Source organism: Homo sapiens, chromosome 3 (assembly GCF_000001405.40).
Source record: "Homo sapiens chromosome 3, GRCh38.p14 Primary Assembly".
Classification (NCBI taxonomy): Eukaryota; Metazoa; Chordata; class Mammalia; order Primates; family Hominidae; genus Homo; species Homo sapiens.
Window position 1 is genome coordinate 65,481,772 of NC_000003.12, and position 14,372 is coordinate 65,496,143.

At 40.6% G+C, this 14,372-nt stretch overlaps 1 protein-coding gene across 6 annotated transcripts in view; it reads right to left on the reverse strand.

Annotated features, from left to right (window-relative positions):
• Positions 1 to 14,372, reverse strand: part of MAGI1 (membrane associated guanylate kinase, WW and PDZ domain containing 1) — a 685,393-nt gene that overhangs the window by 128,246 nt on the left and 542,775 nt on the right. For all 6 annotated transcript variants that reach the window (NM_001033057.2, NM_015520.2, NM_001365904.2 and 3 more), the window contains exon 3: positions 11,741 to 11,860. In NM_001033057.2, the coding sequence (NP_001028229.1) occupies positions 11,741 to 11,860 (120 nt within the window). The remainder of the gene's footprint in view (positions 1 to 11,740; positions 11,861 to 14,372) is intronic.

Here is a 14,372-nt window from a genome sequence, read left to right on the forward strand (position 1 = left end):
TTGGAAAATAAAAGTTCCACTTAACTTTGACAAATATGTGTGGATTTTCCATTAGGTACCTACCCTCACTTTTCAAGTTCAAAATCTTTCTTAAGTTAATAAATGATTAGCAGATTTGTTAATGCAATTACAAACAACCCAAAACAATCCACTTGTTCACAATGGTTTCCTGTTTCTGAAAATTAGTTTAACATTGAATGGAGGCAGATAAAGTAGATAATATTAGATTGAACCATATGAAATTGCTGTTGTAGAAGATATAAACTGTCAAACATAAGCAATTTCACTGGCTTTAATCTAATGAGTGGCCCATGAGCAATACTGCAGAGCCTTGGCACACCATATCATGGGGTAAAAGGCTTGGAAGAGACAGCTCAGAGTTGAAAGCCCACTACTAACTAACTGGCTGTGTGACTCTGGGCCAGTCTTTGTCCGCCTTTAACTTGGGATTCTAAGAGAACCTAGTTTACACCTAGAATAGCTGTTAGGAAGACAAAATGAGACGGTCTGCCTTTAACCTATGCTGAAGTCTGCCACTATGGTGAGGGTAGATAAATGCTACCTAAAGTTGCTATCACATGTTTTCAGTCTTTAAAATGACACCCATACTACATTGTTTTGAGGATCAAAGAGATCATGTATGCAAAGTGCTGCACATGGTAACTGAGCACTAAGCAAGCAAACCTGTCAATAACCAAATAACCAAGTCTTCTAACACTCAGTCTCTCTAGTACTTTCTCTGTGAAATGGGAATGGTAGCACCAGCTGTAGCAACCTCATAGGATTATTGTGAAAATTAACTAATGCAGAGTTTTCAAAGGTACTCTGTAAACTATAAGGTGTTAAATATGAGATAGTGTTATAATTATCCAAATCTCTCCACTATTTCTTATTTCCCGTACTGAAACCTACAACCTTTACAGAAAAGATTCTGTCTAGTGGTTTTCTAACTGCAGAGTGTTCAAACTTTCATACGCCACTGTTTCAAAATAATTTGGATTAGTGACCAACATTTAAAATTAGAAAGCTTCTAGTTAAGTCTGGATTCTCAATGCTGTTTGACAAACTGTAAAGTCTGGTTCCAGGGACTCCATCTCTTATAGAGGATGTTGAAAAGCAAGTATGTGTCTAAAGCCAATTCACATGAACATACTAAATCAAGGATTTCTGCAGAGAAATTTTTGCTCCTCCTCTTGGTTTTGCCTGACCCTTGACAGACAAAGATCTTGGACCCCATCTAGAACAGTGCCCTCAGGCTGCTGCAATGCAAGGGCATAGGCAGATACAGGGGCATGAGCAGAGGCATGAGTAGATGTAAAAAAACCTTAAACTTCAAAAAGTCTTCAATAATTCACAGATTAGCCTTTGAGTGAATTGATTTTTGGAGAGCTTGCTTTCGGCCCTGGGCTTTTGGACAAAAACTCTGGCTGTCTTATTTCAACTCTGGCTCTCTTATTCTGCTGTGAACTGCCCTTACCGTGCAGCAATGGGCAGGATGGGTCATGCTTGCTCCAGTTTGCCACAGTCACCAGTGGTCTTCTTTGCCTCTATGCACCCTCTTACCTGACCTGTCTGGCCCCTCAGGCATTTGAGTTCATGACTCTAACCTTCCAGAAAGTATTCCACCTTTGCAATGGTTTGCACTCTCATCACAATCAAGCAAAGTCTAGCCACAGCAGAAACACAAACCTTACAAAGTCTAGCCATGTAGAAACACAAACCTTACAGACAGTATGCGCGACTTAACAGTATTAAATAAAAATCATCTGAAAAATTGTAAGTGATTAAAAACTTAATTGGGGCTATCACTTGGCAGGCTGCACAGTGTCTAGGAGCCGTGAGGCTGATTATCCCACAGGCTCTGCGTTATCCAACACACGTTTCCTGCAGTGGCTGGGCTCCCTCCCAAGTGGAAACTTGTTCTCTCTGCTGCTATTTTCAGAACTGGTTCTACAACAAATCTCAACAGGGAGGGTAGCCAGGGAGGAAAGCGGAGGGCAAAGGAGGACTTAAGAGGAAGCCACTGCTGGCCTTAATTAACAAGCAAAATCTCTGGCCAGGACAAAGCCAAAGAAAATATTTTTCTGACACACATTTAAAAATTAATAGGCACTGCAAATCAATTTTTAGGGCTTTATAAAATATTTAAGGAGGATTGTAACCCTGGAATTTAAGCTAGGATGAATCAAATCTATATGGCTTTCAAATTATACAAATTTACTATTCATTCATTCATTTCCTTACAGAAAACCTTTTTAATGCCAGGCATGGGAAATACAAAGTAAAAATTGGACTGAAACACGATCTTCACAACCATTCTATATGGCATACATCAGTTTTGTCAAGCTTCAATGTGCAAACAATTAAATTACATTAAGTAATGATCAGGGTGGGCCTGAGATCCATGGATCACACTGTTTGTGTAGCAAAGCCATTTGGGACAGAGAAAATCATTCCTCTTTTGCAGATGACAAACATAAAGGCCCAAAGTGGCAGAAACGCCTGCCATGGAGTTACATGGCTGGTCCAAGGTAAATGGGGGTGGGAATTGGGGGTACTTGTCTGTCTTCTTCCTATGAGACAAGCTTTTGCAAATAAGCCTGAGAACAGGATGGTAGTGACCACCTATGGCTGGGAATCTACAGCATGCATTTTCAACGGGGCAATATCACCCCCAAGGGGGCAAAAATTGTTTTCTTTTTTGAGGGGGAGAGAGGTACAAAAACCTTACTCTCTTTATGTATAGTGCAAATATGTATAGAGTACATGAATACATGGACATCCAGCATATCTGATTTTGCCTTGGCCTCACGGTCCTGAGTGGTCTGCCCCATGCCCACTCTCCAAGCACTTGTCCTGATTGCCTTCACCTTGTTCTTTTCACTCTGACCTCACTGGTTGCCTTTCAGCCCCCAGCATGTAAACTGTGCCCCCTTCCCCCATCTCACAGCTCTTGCACCCACTCCTCCCTCTGCTCCTCACCCTGTTACTACCTGCTCATCCTCAGCAACAGTATCTCTGACCCCACAGACTAGATCAAAGCTGTCCTTATCAGTTCTTATATGTTCTCAAGGAACCACATACCTCCCCTTCCTAATGCCCTTTATTGTATATAGCAGACTGTTTAATTAATCAGTACCTGTCTTCACCTCTAGACTATAAACTCAAAGAGGCCAGGAGCCACATCTGATTTTGTGTACCACTGTGTTCTCAGGCCTGACGCAGTGCCAGGCACATACCATTACCCGGTAATTCACTGCAGAATGAGTAAATGAATAAAGGCAGATAGTGCACATGAATTCCAGCCTGGGATCCTCCTAAAAACCTGTATTGTGGATCCAGTTTTTAATAGCATGACTCACAACACTTTCTTTCCAGTCGGTCAATTACATTTGAATTACCAAGATCTGCATCACTTCACTTTGCTACTTGCTTGCTCAGCACATGATAGTTCCTTCATAAAACTGCAATACTTTCTTTTTACTCTTCCTTTTCCTACCTGCCCCACCCTACAAAAATAGGATGTTCATGCACAGAAGGACAATAAACCACTGTTCTATAATTAGCAGTTTGTTCTTGCCAGTGCCATTTGGTTTCTAATACAAGACCAAACAGGAGAACATAAGAGTTTTACGACCCTGAGTGAGGTAAGGGACCTCTCTCTCTTCAGCCTCAGTTCACACAGTATAAAGACAAAAATCATGGCAACCTAATAGGTTTTTGTCAAGATTAAATTAGATAATGTGTATAAAGCACCCAGCACTGTGCTTGACACAATGTTAGCCTATAATCAACTCTGCCAGTCTCCAATCAGGCCTGATGTTGTAGATAGATAATAGGGTTAATGTGTAAAAGAGTGTATTATCACAACACATATTCAAAGAACAACATTTTTTAAAGTTACCTTTATCGTGCACATATTAAGTGTCACTACGCATATATTCACTTACTCTAATCTTTATAAACAATCTTAGAGAAAAAAAGGCATCAATATTCCCATTTTCACATAAAGAAACTGATATTTACACAAGTCAAAGATGATGACTGGCATTTAAATACAGATTAGTCTGTCTCTGACATCTACACTTTTAACTCCAGGAATATTTGGGGATCTCTAAGCAGGGAATTAAAGAAAACTTCGCCAGCTCCCCCCATCTTCATAAGCAGAAGAACAGCCAATTATAGCACAGATTTCATTTGGTCACTTTCATTATCAACAGAGAACATTCTACGACAGAGTTTGCCAACAGAGCTCATCACAACAGACTGCTTCTAAGGCCTGCCAAAGAACAGGACTCTAGACAGTCTCGCTTTCTTTAACCAGAAACAAGAACTCTCTTCACCCCTATTTTATCTCTGTGTCCCCAAAAATTATACCATTGGCAGCTGCCTTTTTGCAGACCTTCTAGGAAGCAAAACAATAACATTATTGAATGCTGACATCCTCTTCCTAATTAACATGCAGAAATATGCAACCCATAACTCCAATTTGAAATGTCACCCTGGCACTGCACTTCTATGCTGAAGGAAAACCTTTGCAATGCTCAAAGTGTATAATCAGCCTCTTCTACCCAGAGGCATTTGTAAAACAGCCATGTCTGGATCCCCACCCTCCACTGAATAGTTCATCCCTTGTAAACTCTCTCCTAGAGAAGTCCCAAGGGCTGGCTGAGGCAGTGACCTGTCTTGCAGAGCAAAAATGTCAACAGAAAAAAAAAGAAAAGCAAGGGAAAAGGGAAATGGTTCAGCTGATTTATTTTAAGCACCATATCAAATAAATAAGCTCAGTGCCACAATTAGGAAGTTGGGCCAAGTTGGAAAGATGTGCTTATTCTTGTCTTCTTTACCTTGCTTTGATGCCAATTCTGTTCAGTGACAGAATGAGGAGCTGGTTCAAATTGTAAAGCAGAGATCAATGACAAACTCTACTAATAACTTCTATGCCTTGTGAGGGATGATAATCAGATTCTTTACATCGCCAGGAAGGGGCTCTACTCTGTTGGGAGTATAATGCTACTCTCAGCATTACAGCTGTCGGTGGATAGAAAGTTTCAGGATGGAGTCCCTGCCCGGCAAACCTACCCCAATTATAGTATTTTTTATTTTCACAAATGGTACCACTATCTATCCAGTAATAGAAGACAGAAACTAGGAGTTATCTTAGGAGGATTGTCATCATCTGTCTTTTCTACCTCGTTCTCACAATAACCAATACATTAACAAATTCAGCTTTTCACATAAATATCTCCAGATTCAGCTGACTATTTACCACCACCATCACCAACGTGGTTCAAAGCCAACTCCAACTGTGGTTGCCAGATGAAATGCAAGACAGGGTGTTCCGCGTTTTTATTTGCTAAATCCAGCAACCTAACTCCAGCTCAACCATCAGATCTCACTTCAATTACTACTTCTACAGAGGTACTTTTTCTTGATTCCACAGACATCCACTCTCCCTGTCTTATGGTCTCCTTTAAAGACCTTCGCACACTTACAATTGGATATTCGTTTATTTAAATAAAGTGTCTTGTTCACTAGACATTTAAGACCCATAAAGACAGTGACCACAACCATATCTGCTTTTGTTCAGCATTTTATCTTTAATGAATAAATGAATGAACTCACAAACTAGTAACTGAGGCTACAAAAGAAGCATTACTTTTCAGGCAAAGGGAAATAAAAGCATCCCAGTCCTGCAACATTTGGCCAGGCTATGTCCCTAACTCCCTGAAGTATCTTAAAGCAAGCTCTCTCTGGATTTCAGTTCTATCATCTGAAGAAACTAACTTTACTGCATTTCCAGCTGTAAAGTCCTACAACCGACCAATGTAAATCAAGCAAATATTGGGCCTGAAAGAGAATTCTGAAGGTTACTGGGCCTTGAGGCTTCACTGGTTCACTCTATTTGTCTGCCATCTTGCCTGTCATAGAATGTATCCACAAAAGAAGATCACCACTCCTCTGCATAACATCCTCTTTGGGAAGATTCAACACGATGATTCTTTTTTAAAGGAGCTTAACTCTTAAGACCTGCTTTGCTTTGTGAAGTCAGCTGGTGAGGACAGAGATCTTGTTGAGCAGGTCCTCAACCTTCCTTTCAGAAGCTTTTATTCTAAAACTGAAGCCACCAGCCATGTGTGGCTACTTAAATTTAAATGAGTTTATGTTGAATTAAAGTTAATTTAAAACTTGGTTTCTCAATCACAAGAACCACTGGCTGCCATAATGGACAGTACAGAATACTGAACATTCCCAGCATGGAAGGAAGTTCTTACAGGATAGCAGTGGTTCTAAGGGAAACAGGGTGTGCTTGCTTCCCCTCCCTTTCTAGAAGCCATCCTTCTAATCCTCTCTTGGTTCATCATCACATCGTTCTCTGTGGATTCAGGCCCCATGGCCCATGCTGATTACTAAATTCAAACACCATCTCCCAGCCTCTCACCTGACCTAACACAGTCCTCTCATAGCTTCGCCTCCTCTAGGGAGTCTGCCAAAACTAGATGAAGCTTTCTATAAGCTTCTGGAGCGCTGTGTAGTTTCTCTCAAAACACTCATAACTTTTTTTCTTTTTTTTTTGTTTTTTGAGACAGGGTCTCACTTTGTCACCCAGGCTGGAGTGCAGTGGCACAATCTCAGCTCACTGCAACATCTGCCTCTTGGGTTCAAGTGATTCTCCCACCTCAGCCTCCCAAGTAGCTGGGACTATAGGCATGCACCACCAAGCCCAGCTAATTTTTATATTTTTTTTTGGTACAGAGGGGATTTTACCATGTTGGCCAGGCTTGTGTCGAATTCCTGACCTAAAATGATCCGCCTGCCTTGGCCTCCCAAAGTGCTGGGATTATAGGCATGAGCCACTACACCCGGCCTACTCATCACTTTTCTTAAAATTGTTTACATTCATTCATTCATATATTACACAGAGTCTTGCTCCTGTTGCCCAGGCTGGAGTGCAGTGGTGTGATCTTGGCTCACTGCAGCCTCGAACTTCCCAGGATCAGGGGATTCTCCCACCTCAGCTTCCCGAGTAGCTGGGATTACAGGTGCACGCCACCGTGCCCAGCTCATTTTTGTATTTTTTTATAGAGATGGGGTTTTGCCATGTTGCCCAGGCTGGTCGCGAGCTCCTGAGCTCAAGCAATCCTCCCACCTCAGCCTCCCAAAGTGCTGGGATTACAGGTATCCGCCACCACGCCCAGCAAAATTGTTTATGTTTAATCTGCCTCACAAGACTGAGTGTGGGAAGAGTGTAGACTCTGTGGCCAGAGTGCCTGAATCTGAATCCCAGCTCTATCTTTGATTTACCATGTGAACTAAGAAGAGATTACTGGCATTTCTGGGCCTCATACTCCTCTTCTGTAAAATGGACATAAATAGAACCTACCTCATAGGCTTGTTAGGAAGATTAAATGAATTTGTGCATATAATGCACTTTGAAGAGCACCTACTATGTGCCACACAAGCCCTAGCAAAAATAATTAATTAAAAAACATAAGCACCTTCAAAGTCAGGTAGTTTTGGTCTACTGCCCTGTACATCATATCCCTTGCCTCACAAAAAAAGTCTGACCTGAAATAAATACTCAATAAATATTTGTTGAAATAAACTATATATGCATTAAAAGGCTTGCTTTAAAACTGTGCTGCCAGAAACTTACCCTATAGTTATGCTCATAATTGCGTAACAATATACTTGAAGCACTGTTTATAACACGACCACCAAAAACAGAAGGGGGAGGTGAGGCAGGGGACATTTAAAATGTCCATCTGCAGGGGGCTGGTTAAATAAGTTATATATTTATATACAGATAGACAGATAGATACATAGATAGATGTAGAGATATATATATACTCATTCACTGGGACACTATGCAGCATTTATAAAGAATGAGGTGAAACTGTATGCGGTAATGTGGAAAGATCTCCAGGGTATGTTAAGGGCAAACGGCAATAACAGAGTGAAGTAAACGAGATATACATATATGTTGTGTACATATAAGTTTTCTGAATATTTGCACTAGCATCTTTAATAGTGGTTACCTATATGGAAGAGGGGAAACAAGTAGGACTTAGCTAGTTTTAAGGCTTTTGCTGTAGGAACTATTCCATCATGTACACTTATTACTGTTACTTAAACATTTATATATGTCTTCCTTTAAAGAGTGCTTTGTGTTGTTGTGGTAGACTTTTCCTCTCTGGAACCAGCAGAGGTCTGGAGAAAGCAATTTCAGGAGGGGAAAAAAGATGGTGAGTACCTGGGAAGTAAATAAAGACATTTTACTGGCAAATCTGCTGGTTTACTGACTAGTAGAGGGGAAAGGGATCCACTACAGGAGCAATTTTGAACTAGGTGCGTGTAAATACAAAAGCTAATGCTGAAGGAGAGCTTACATGTGTCAGACACTCTGCTAAGCCCTTTCCAATTATTGTCTCATTTAGCCCTACCTCTGAGGAAGCACTATTATTATCCTCATTTTACCAATGGGAAAATGGAGACATGCAGCATTAAGCAACTTGCCGGAGGGCACACAGCTCAATAGCAAAGGGGCTGAGAATCAAACTCAGGCAGTGTGACAGCAGGGCTTGCATGCTTGTTAGTGTCCACCAATAGACAGCAGCCACCATCAGGGGACTTGTCCAGGGGAGGCAAAGACAGTGGAAGTTCTCTAAATGTCTTTCCAGCCCTACTCCGATGAGGGTATATGGCATTTAATAAACATTCCATTTGGCTCTCAGCTTTTAAGAGTCAATATAATATACTCTGGTCAGTTCCAAAAACTTATGAGCCATCTCGGCCAGGCTCGGTGGCTCACGCCTGTAATCCCAGTACTATGGGAGGTCGATGCAGGCGGATCACGAAGTCATGAGATCGAGACCATCCTGGCCAACACGGTGAAACCCTGTCTCTACTAAAATATAAAAACTTAGCCGGGCACAGTGGCATGCACCTGTAGTTCCAGCTACTCAGGAGGCTGAGGCAGGAGAATCGCTTGAACATGGGAGGGGGAGGGTGCAGTGAGCTGAGACTGCGCCACTGCACTCCAGCCTGGGCGACAGAGCGAGACTCTGTCTCAAAAAAAAAAAAAAGAAAAAAGAAAGAAAAATTATGAGCCCTCTCATATGGTAAGGAAATTTCGCTGCTAATAGGCCAAAGGCTGAAGAACGCTGTACAAATGGGTTAGAACTGGAAAAGATTAGTCCTGTGCCTAAGAAAATTCCAATTCCAAAATAACTATGCAACATTCACAAAGGCACCGTTTTCTACAAGACAATCAGACATTTTCTGAAAACCATTCCTCTACTGCTATACACCAGGAAGTTAGCTTCAAGTACTAATGGGTTATTTTCCTTAGCTTCTTAGTTATATCTAGGATATTCTTCGGGTTTTTAGGAAAGAGTGTAGGATCTGAGAGTCACACTGAGCTGGGTTTGGTTCCTTCTCTAGCATTCTAGAACTGGCTGTGCAACTCTGAAATAGTTATTTAATACCACTTGGCTTCAGTGTCCCCATCTAAAAATTCAGTGAAGATAATAGCCGCCTCTGTTGCAATGATAAAATTAAATGAGAAAAAGAACTGACTCCACCTATATATCATTTGTTCCATTAACATCGAATAAAGTGAGTTTACTTTCCATCTTCCAAGTTAAATTGGAGTCTAAATCACAAGTTTTTCCTTTCCGACCCAATCCTCTTTTGCTTTGTACAACCACTCCCACCCCAGCCTCTCCAAAAATGCAAATAGATGTTTTATATATTTGACGACTGAAGCCCCCCAGATGGGCATAATAACTGATTGCAGATGAGGACATTTCTCTCTCTGCTAACCAAAGAGGAGTCACACATGCTCTCCTCTTCACATGTACAACATGTGAGGACAGCATGCTGACAACATGTTGAAGAAGCTCCTTGTACCTTCCCGCAGCCCCCCTCCCTTCCCTCTATACACTCCTAGACCTCGATTACTCTCAGACCCCTGCCCAGCCCACCAGCCACCCAGTCACATCCCAACATGTAGTTTCAGGAAACTAAGCCAACTGATAATTAGCAACACTCAAAAACAAACAAACAAAAATTCCTGATTCATGAGCAGGAATTTGATTAATATACACTGTCTACTGTATATTCACAATTTGGAAAGGAGCAGTATGTACAAAGACAATGCTCCTTCCCGTCTTCTCCAAAGAACATCAAACCAGAAACAGCCATCTCTAAGATTCATGATCATGATATGAGTGTTAGTCACTGTAACAGAAGCAATTATCACATTAAAGCTATAATGTCCCTAATAAAATAATAATCTACTTTGTATTTACCCTTTATGTTTAAGTCTAATCTTTAAAATGCCCCGTGAATGCCTAATAAATCCAAATTTTAAAGAGTTTGTAAAGAGATACACATAATAACTTGACCAAGTTAATAATCTGTCCTAGTTAATAGTATCATTACACCACTTCTGCCTCAAATAATAATAACACTCCAAAAAGTAATCAAGCTATAATACTGTTTTCAGAAAAATGTGACTTTTTTCCACCACATTTGGCTTTGACCCAGCAATGGGATCTGATCCTATGGATATGTTTGCACCTGTATGAAATGATACATCCATGTCATTCGACTCAGCAGTGTTTAGAAATATGAAACATTGAAACTGACTCAAATATTTGTTCAGAGGGAAGTGGTTAAATAAATTACGGTATGCCCATACAAAGGAATTATAATTTTTATAATTATATTTCAAAAAGAAGAAAACCAGAAGTGCTTTATTACTGAATTGCAATGACCTATTAAGACATACTGTTAAACAAAAAGAGCAAGGTCCAAACAGCATGTACTATATACTACCTTTTGGGGAAAACTGGGAAGAAATGGGAATATCCATACAACAGGCATGCACACATGTACATACGCATGTGCACACGCATGTCTGTATTGACATAAACTTCAGAAGGTAATCAGATTATTTATAATATTGAATCCTAAATCAGGCAGGTGGGAGACAGGTATATGAAGATTACTTAGCTAAATATTTTTAAAATAATTTGCTTTCCTGTAATCCCAGCACTTTGGGAGGCCAAGGCGGGCGGATCACGAGGTCAGGAGATCGAGACGATCCTGGCTAACACGGTGAAACCCTGTCTCTACTAAAAATACAAAAAATTAGCCGGGCATGGTGGCAGGCGCCTGTAATCCCAGCTACTCGGGAGGCTGACGCAGGAGAATGGCATGAACCCAGGAGGCAGAGCTTACAGTGAGCCAAGATCGCGCCACTGCACTCCAGCCTGGGCGACAGAGCGAGACTCCGTCTCAAAAAAAAAAAAAAAAAAGTTTGCTTTATGAATCACATAAAAATACATTAAAAACCAATCAGTAGGAAAGTGATATTTTATTTCTTCAAGATTAAAACAACACTACTTATAGGATCACATTTTGTGATTAACCATGATTCTTCCTTCTCTCCTAATACCGCACATGTCCGTATTAAAAACAAAACACACCCACATACTTGAATAGGTAAATTAAAAAAGAAAACTCCTAGAGAAAAACTAAAACTATTTTTAAAGAACTCCACAAAGCCTTATTCCATAGACTTTGTCTATTATTCGTCATATTAAGGTGAACTGAAATCTCCTGTTATTTGTTTAGACCTCCAGATTCCACAAAACATTTTTGCCTGGATGGCTCTGGCTCCTCTCAAGTACCCAGGAGAGAAGCTTTTTATGCTGTCGTACAAGTAACTCACCTTCATAGGTGCCGACTTCCAGAAGAGTCCCACTCTGCTCGAGGTCCAAGAACTCCTTCACAGTCAGAAAGTTATAGTCCACGCCAGGCACTTCTCCTTCTCTGGGAGATCGGGTTGTGCCTGTAGCAGAAAATACAAAGGCACAACAAACCATCAATCAACTAAAACAGGAAGTTCCACATCCAGGTGTAATTAAAATAACCTGTTCAGTAAGAGGGCGTACCTAAGACTCTGCTGCCTCATCTGTCCAGACAGGGACACAGTAAAGGCAACTTCTTTCTAATACAACACAACAGCATTCTCATTTCCACACTCTAGTGCCTGGGACCCCAAATGGGAGAGAGAGAAAACCAAGCACCGCTGGGTAACCTAGAGAGAGTTTTATACCATTTTTGATAATGCACTGAATAAAAAAGGTGAACTGGATTTTATACAGACAACATTCACAGTCAGCAGCTTTTACGACTCCAGTAAATACTAAAAACGTATCCACCTTAAGCTCAGAGCCTAAGGGGTTTGTGTTTTTATCACAGGCCTTGAGATTCTCGTATTCCTCAATACAACCGGCAAGTTCCAAAGCCCTTTAAAGAAAATGACACCTGCTGCATAAACACATCACCAGAGAAATATGATTGCCTGAGATCTGTGGTTGGACATCTCCCAGGGATTAAAATGCTGCTGCTCCTCATGTAATTAATATGTTGGGCAAAAAGAGGCCGTCCATGAATTCTGACTAGGGAGAAAGGACGCTGCATTTGCTAGAAAATTCTCCCCCTGCATTAATCTGGTCATCTTCTCAGTGGCTAACAAATGTAACGCTTCCTCTTATGAAATAAGGCAGAGCATCCAGAGTAAAAAAGTCATCCAGCTCAGGTGCTGGGCTATGGATTTATCATTTTAGCCCAATCTCAGTCAACAAAGTGGAAGCAATGAGCAGAATGTGGTTTACACATAAGTCAAGAAAGGAAAATAAACCAAACAGCAATTATGTACCCTGTATTAGGAGCCTATGTTAAATATTATGAGACGAAAAAAAAGAGCAAAAAATGTGACTTCTGCTGTTACATTCAACAGAGCTCATTTAGCAAGGCATTATTACCTGCGGTGGTGATTTAAGGTCAACGTTTTCCTATATAATAAGCAACGATATTTCCCTATGTCTAGGATCTCTTCGTTGAAATGTAATGCAATTAAATAACCGACTATATGTGCCTAGTGGCGCTGAAGTTCTTAGCACTGTGCAGTCTCTGATCATCTGCCCATGTGAATAACCGCATCCACACCTACACTGGATATTCACAATTTTCATAAGTCAAAAACACTCAACACTTAGTACACACTTTACTCAGGCAAAATGTATTTTTAGTGCACATAATTCTTCTATCTGAAATCTGAATATTTTAAATAGCTGCAAATTGGGCATAGGATGGTTATAGTATAGATGTTTGCTTCTCATAATCAGCATGCTAGAACCTTCAGGTTAAAAAGTCTACTCTTACACTGTTTCCTAATTTGTTCCCGTTTCGTGCCTCCCCTGGCAGGTGATGACAAATCCCTTGAGGTAGTTCACAACTTTTAAATTTACATCTCAAGTGTCAGGCACAGGAAACATAGAGACAGTATCATATACTGTTAAAGAACAGTGGTCTGGAGTGGGAATCCTAGGTTCATGGTCTGCCTCTCCAACCTGTGGTCTTGGACAGGTTCCTTAGTGTCTATTTCTCAGTATCCTTGTTTGCAAAATAGGGATAATAATAGCACCTAATCCATAAGTTTGTTGTGTGTATTGAATGAGATAATCCTTTTTGAGGGCTTTGCTCAATAATTTTTAGTAGACATTATAGTTTATGTTTTTGTTAGAATGAATTGATAGAATCTTACCGTTCAAATCCCAGTATAATAATCTGTTATTATATACATATAAATATATCTCTGTTTATGTATATGTGTGTGTATTCATGGCATTATATATTGTATTTATTCAACAAATATTTACTGAGGCCCCAACACATGCCAGGCACTGGGAAAACACTGGTGAACAAGACAAAGCTCATGCCCTGATGGAATTTATATGTTACTGTGAGACACAGAAAACAAATATGTATATAAATAAATATAGCATATAATATCAGGAGGAAATCATTCTTCTACAGACTGAAAGATTAGAAAGTATCTCAGAGCAACATAGGTTAAAGGTTTAGACAGTGTCTTGGAGGGAGGGAGCAAGGGAGAAGTAGGGAAGCTATATTAGCTAGGTGATGAGGAAGAGCCTGGCTAATAGAAAAGGTGATGGGGAATGCATCCAGGCAGAGGGAAGGGAAAAGGCTTTGATACGGGTGTGATCTGGTGTGTTCAGGGAAGGGCAGAAAGGCCAGCATGGTTGCGGTACAGTGATGAAAAAAGGGCTGGAAACGAAAGCAAGCGGCAAGATTACGTAGGCCATAGAAAACACTTCATATTTTATTCTAAGGATAATGGAATGTCATCCTTAGAATGGTTTTGAGCAAGGGGGTGCGTTGATTTGGTTTTTCTTTTATTTTCCTTTTCAGAGACAGAGTCTCGCTCTATCGCTCAGGCTGGAGTGCACTGGAGGAATCACAGCTCACTATCTCCTTGAACTACTGGGCTCAAG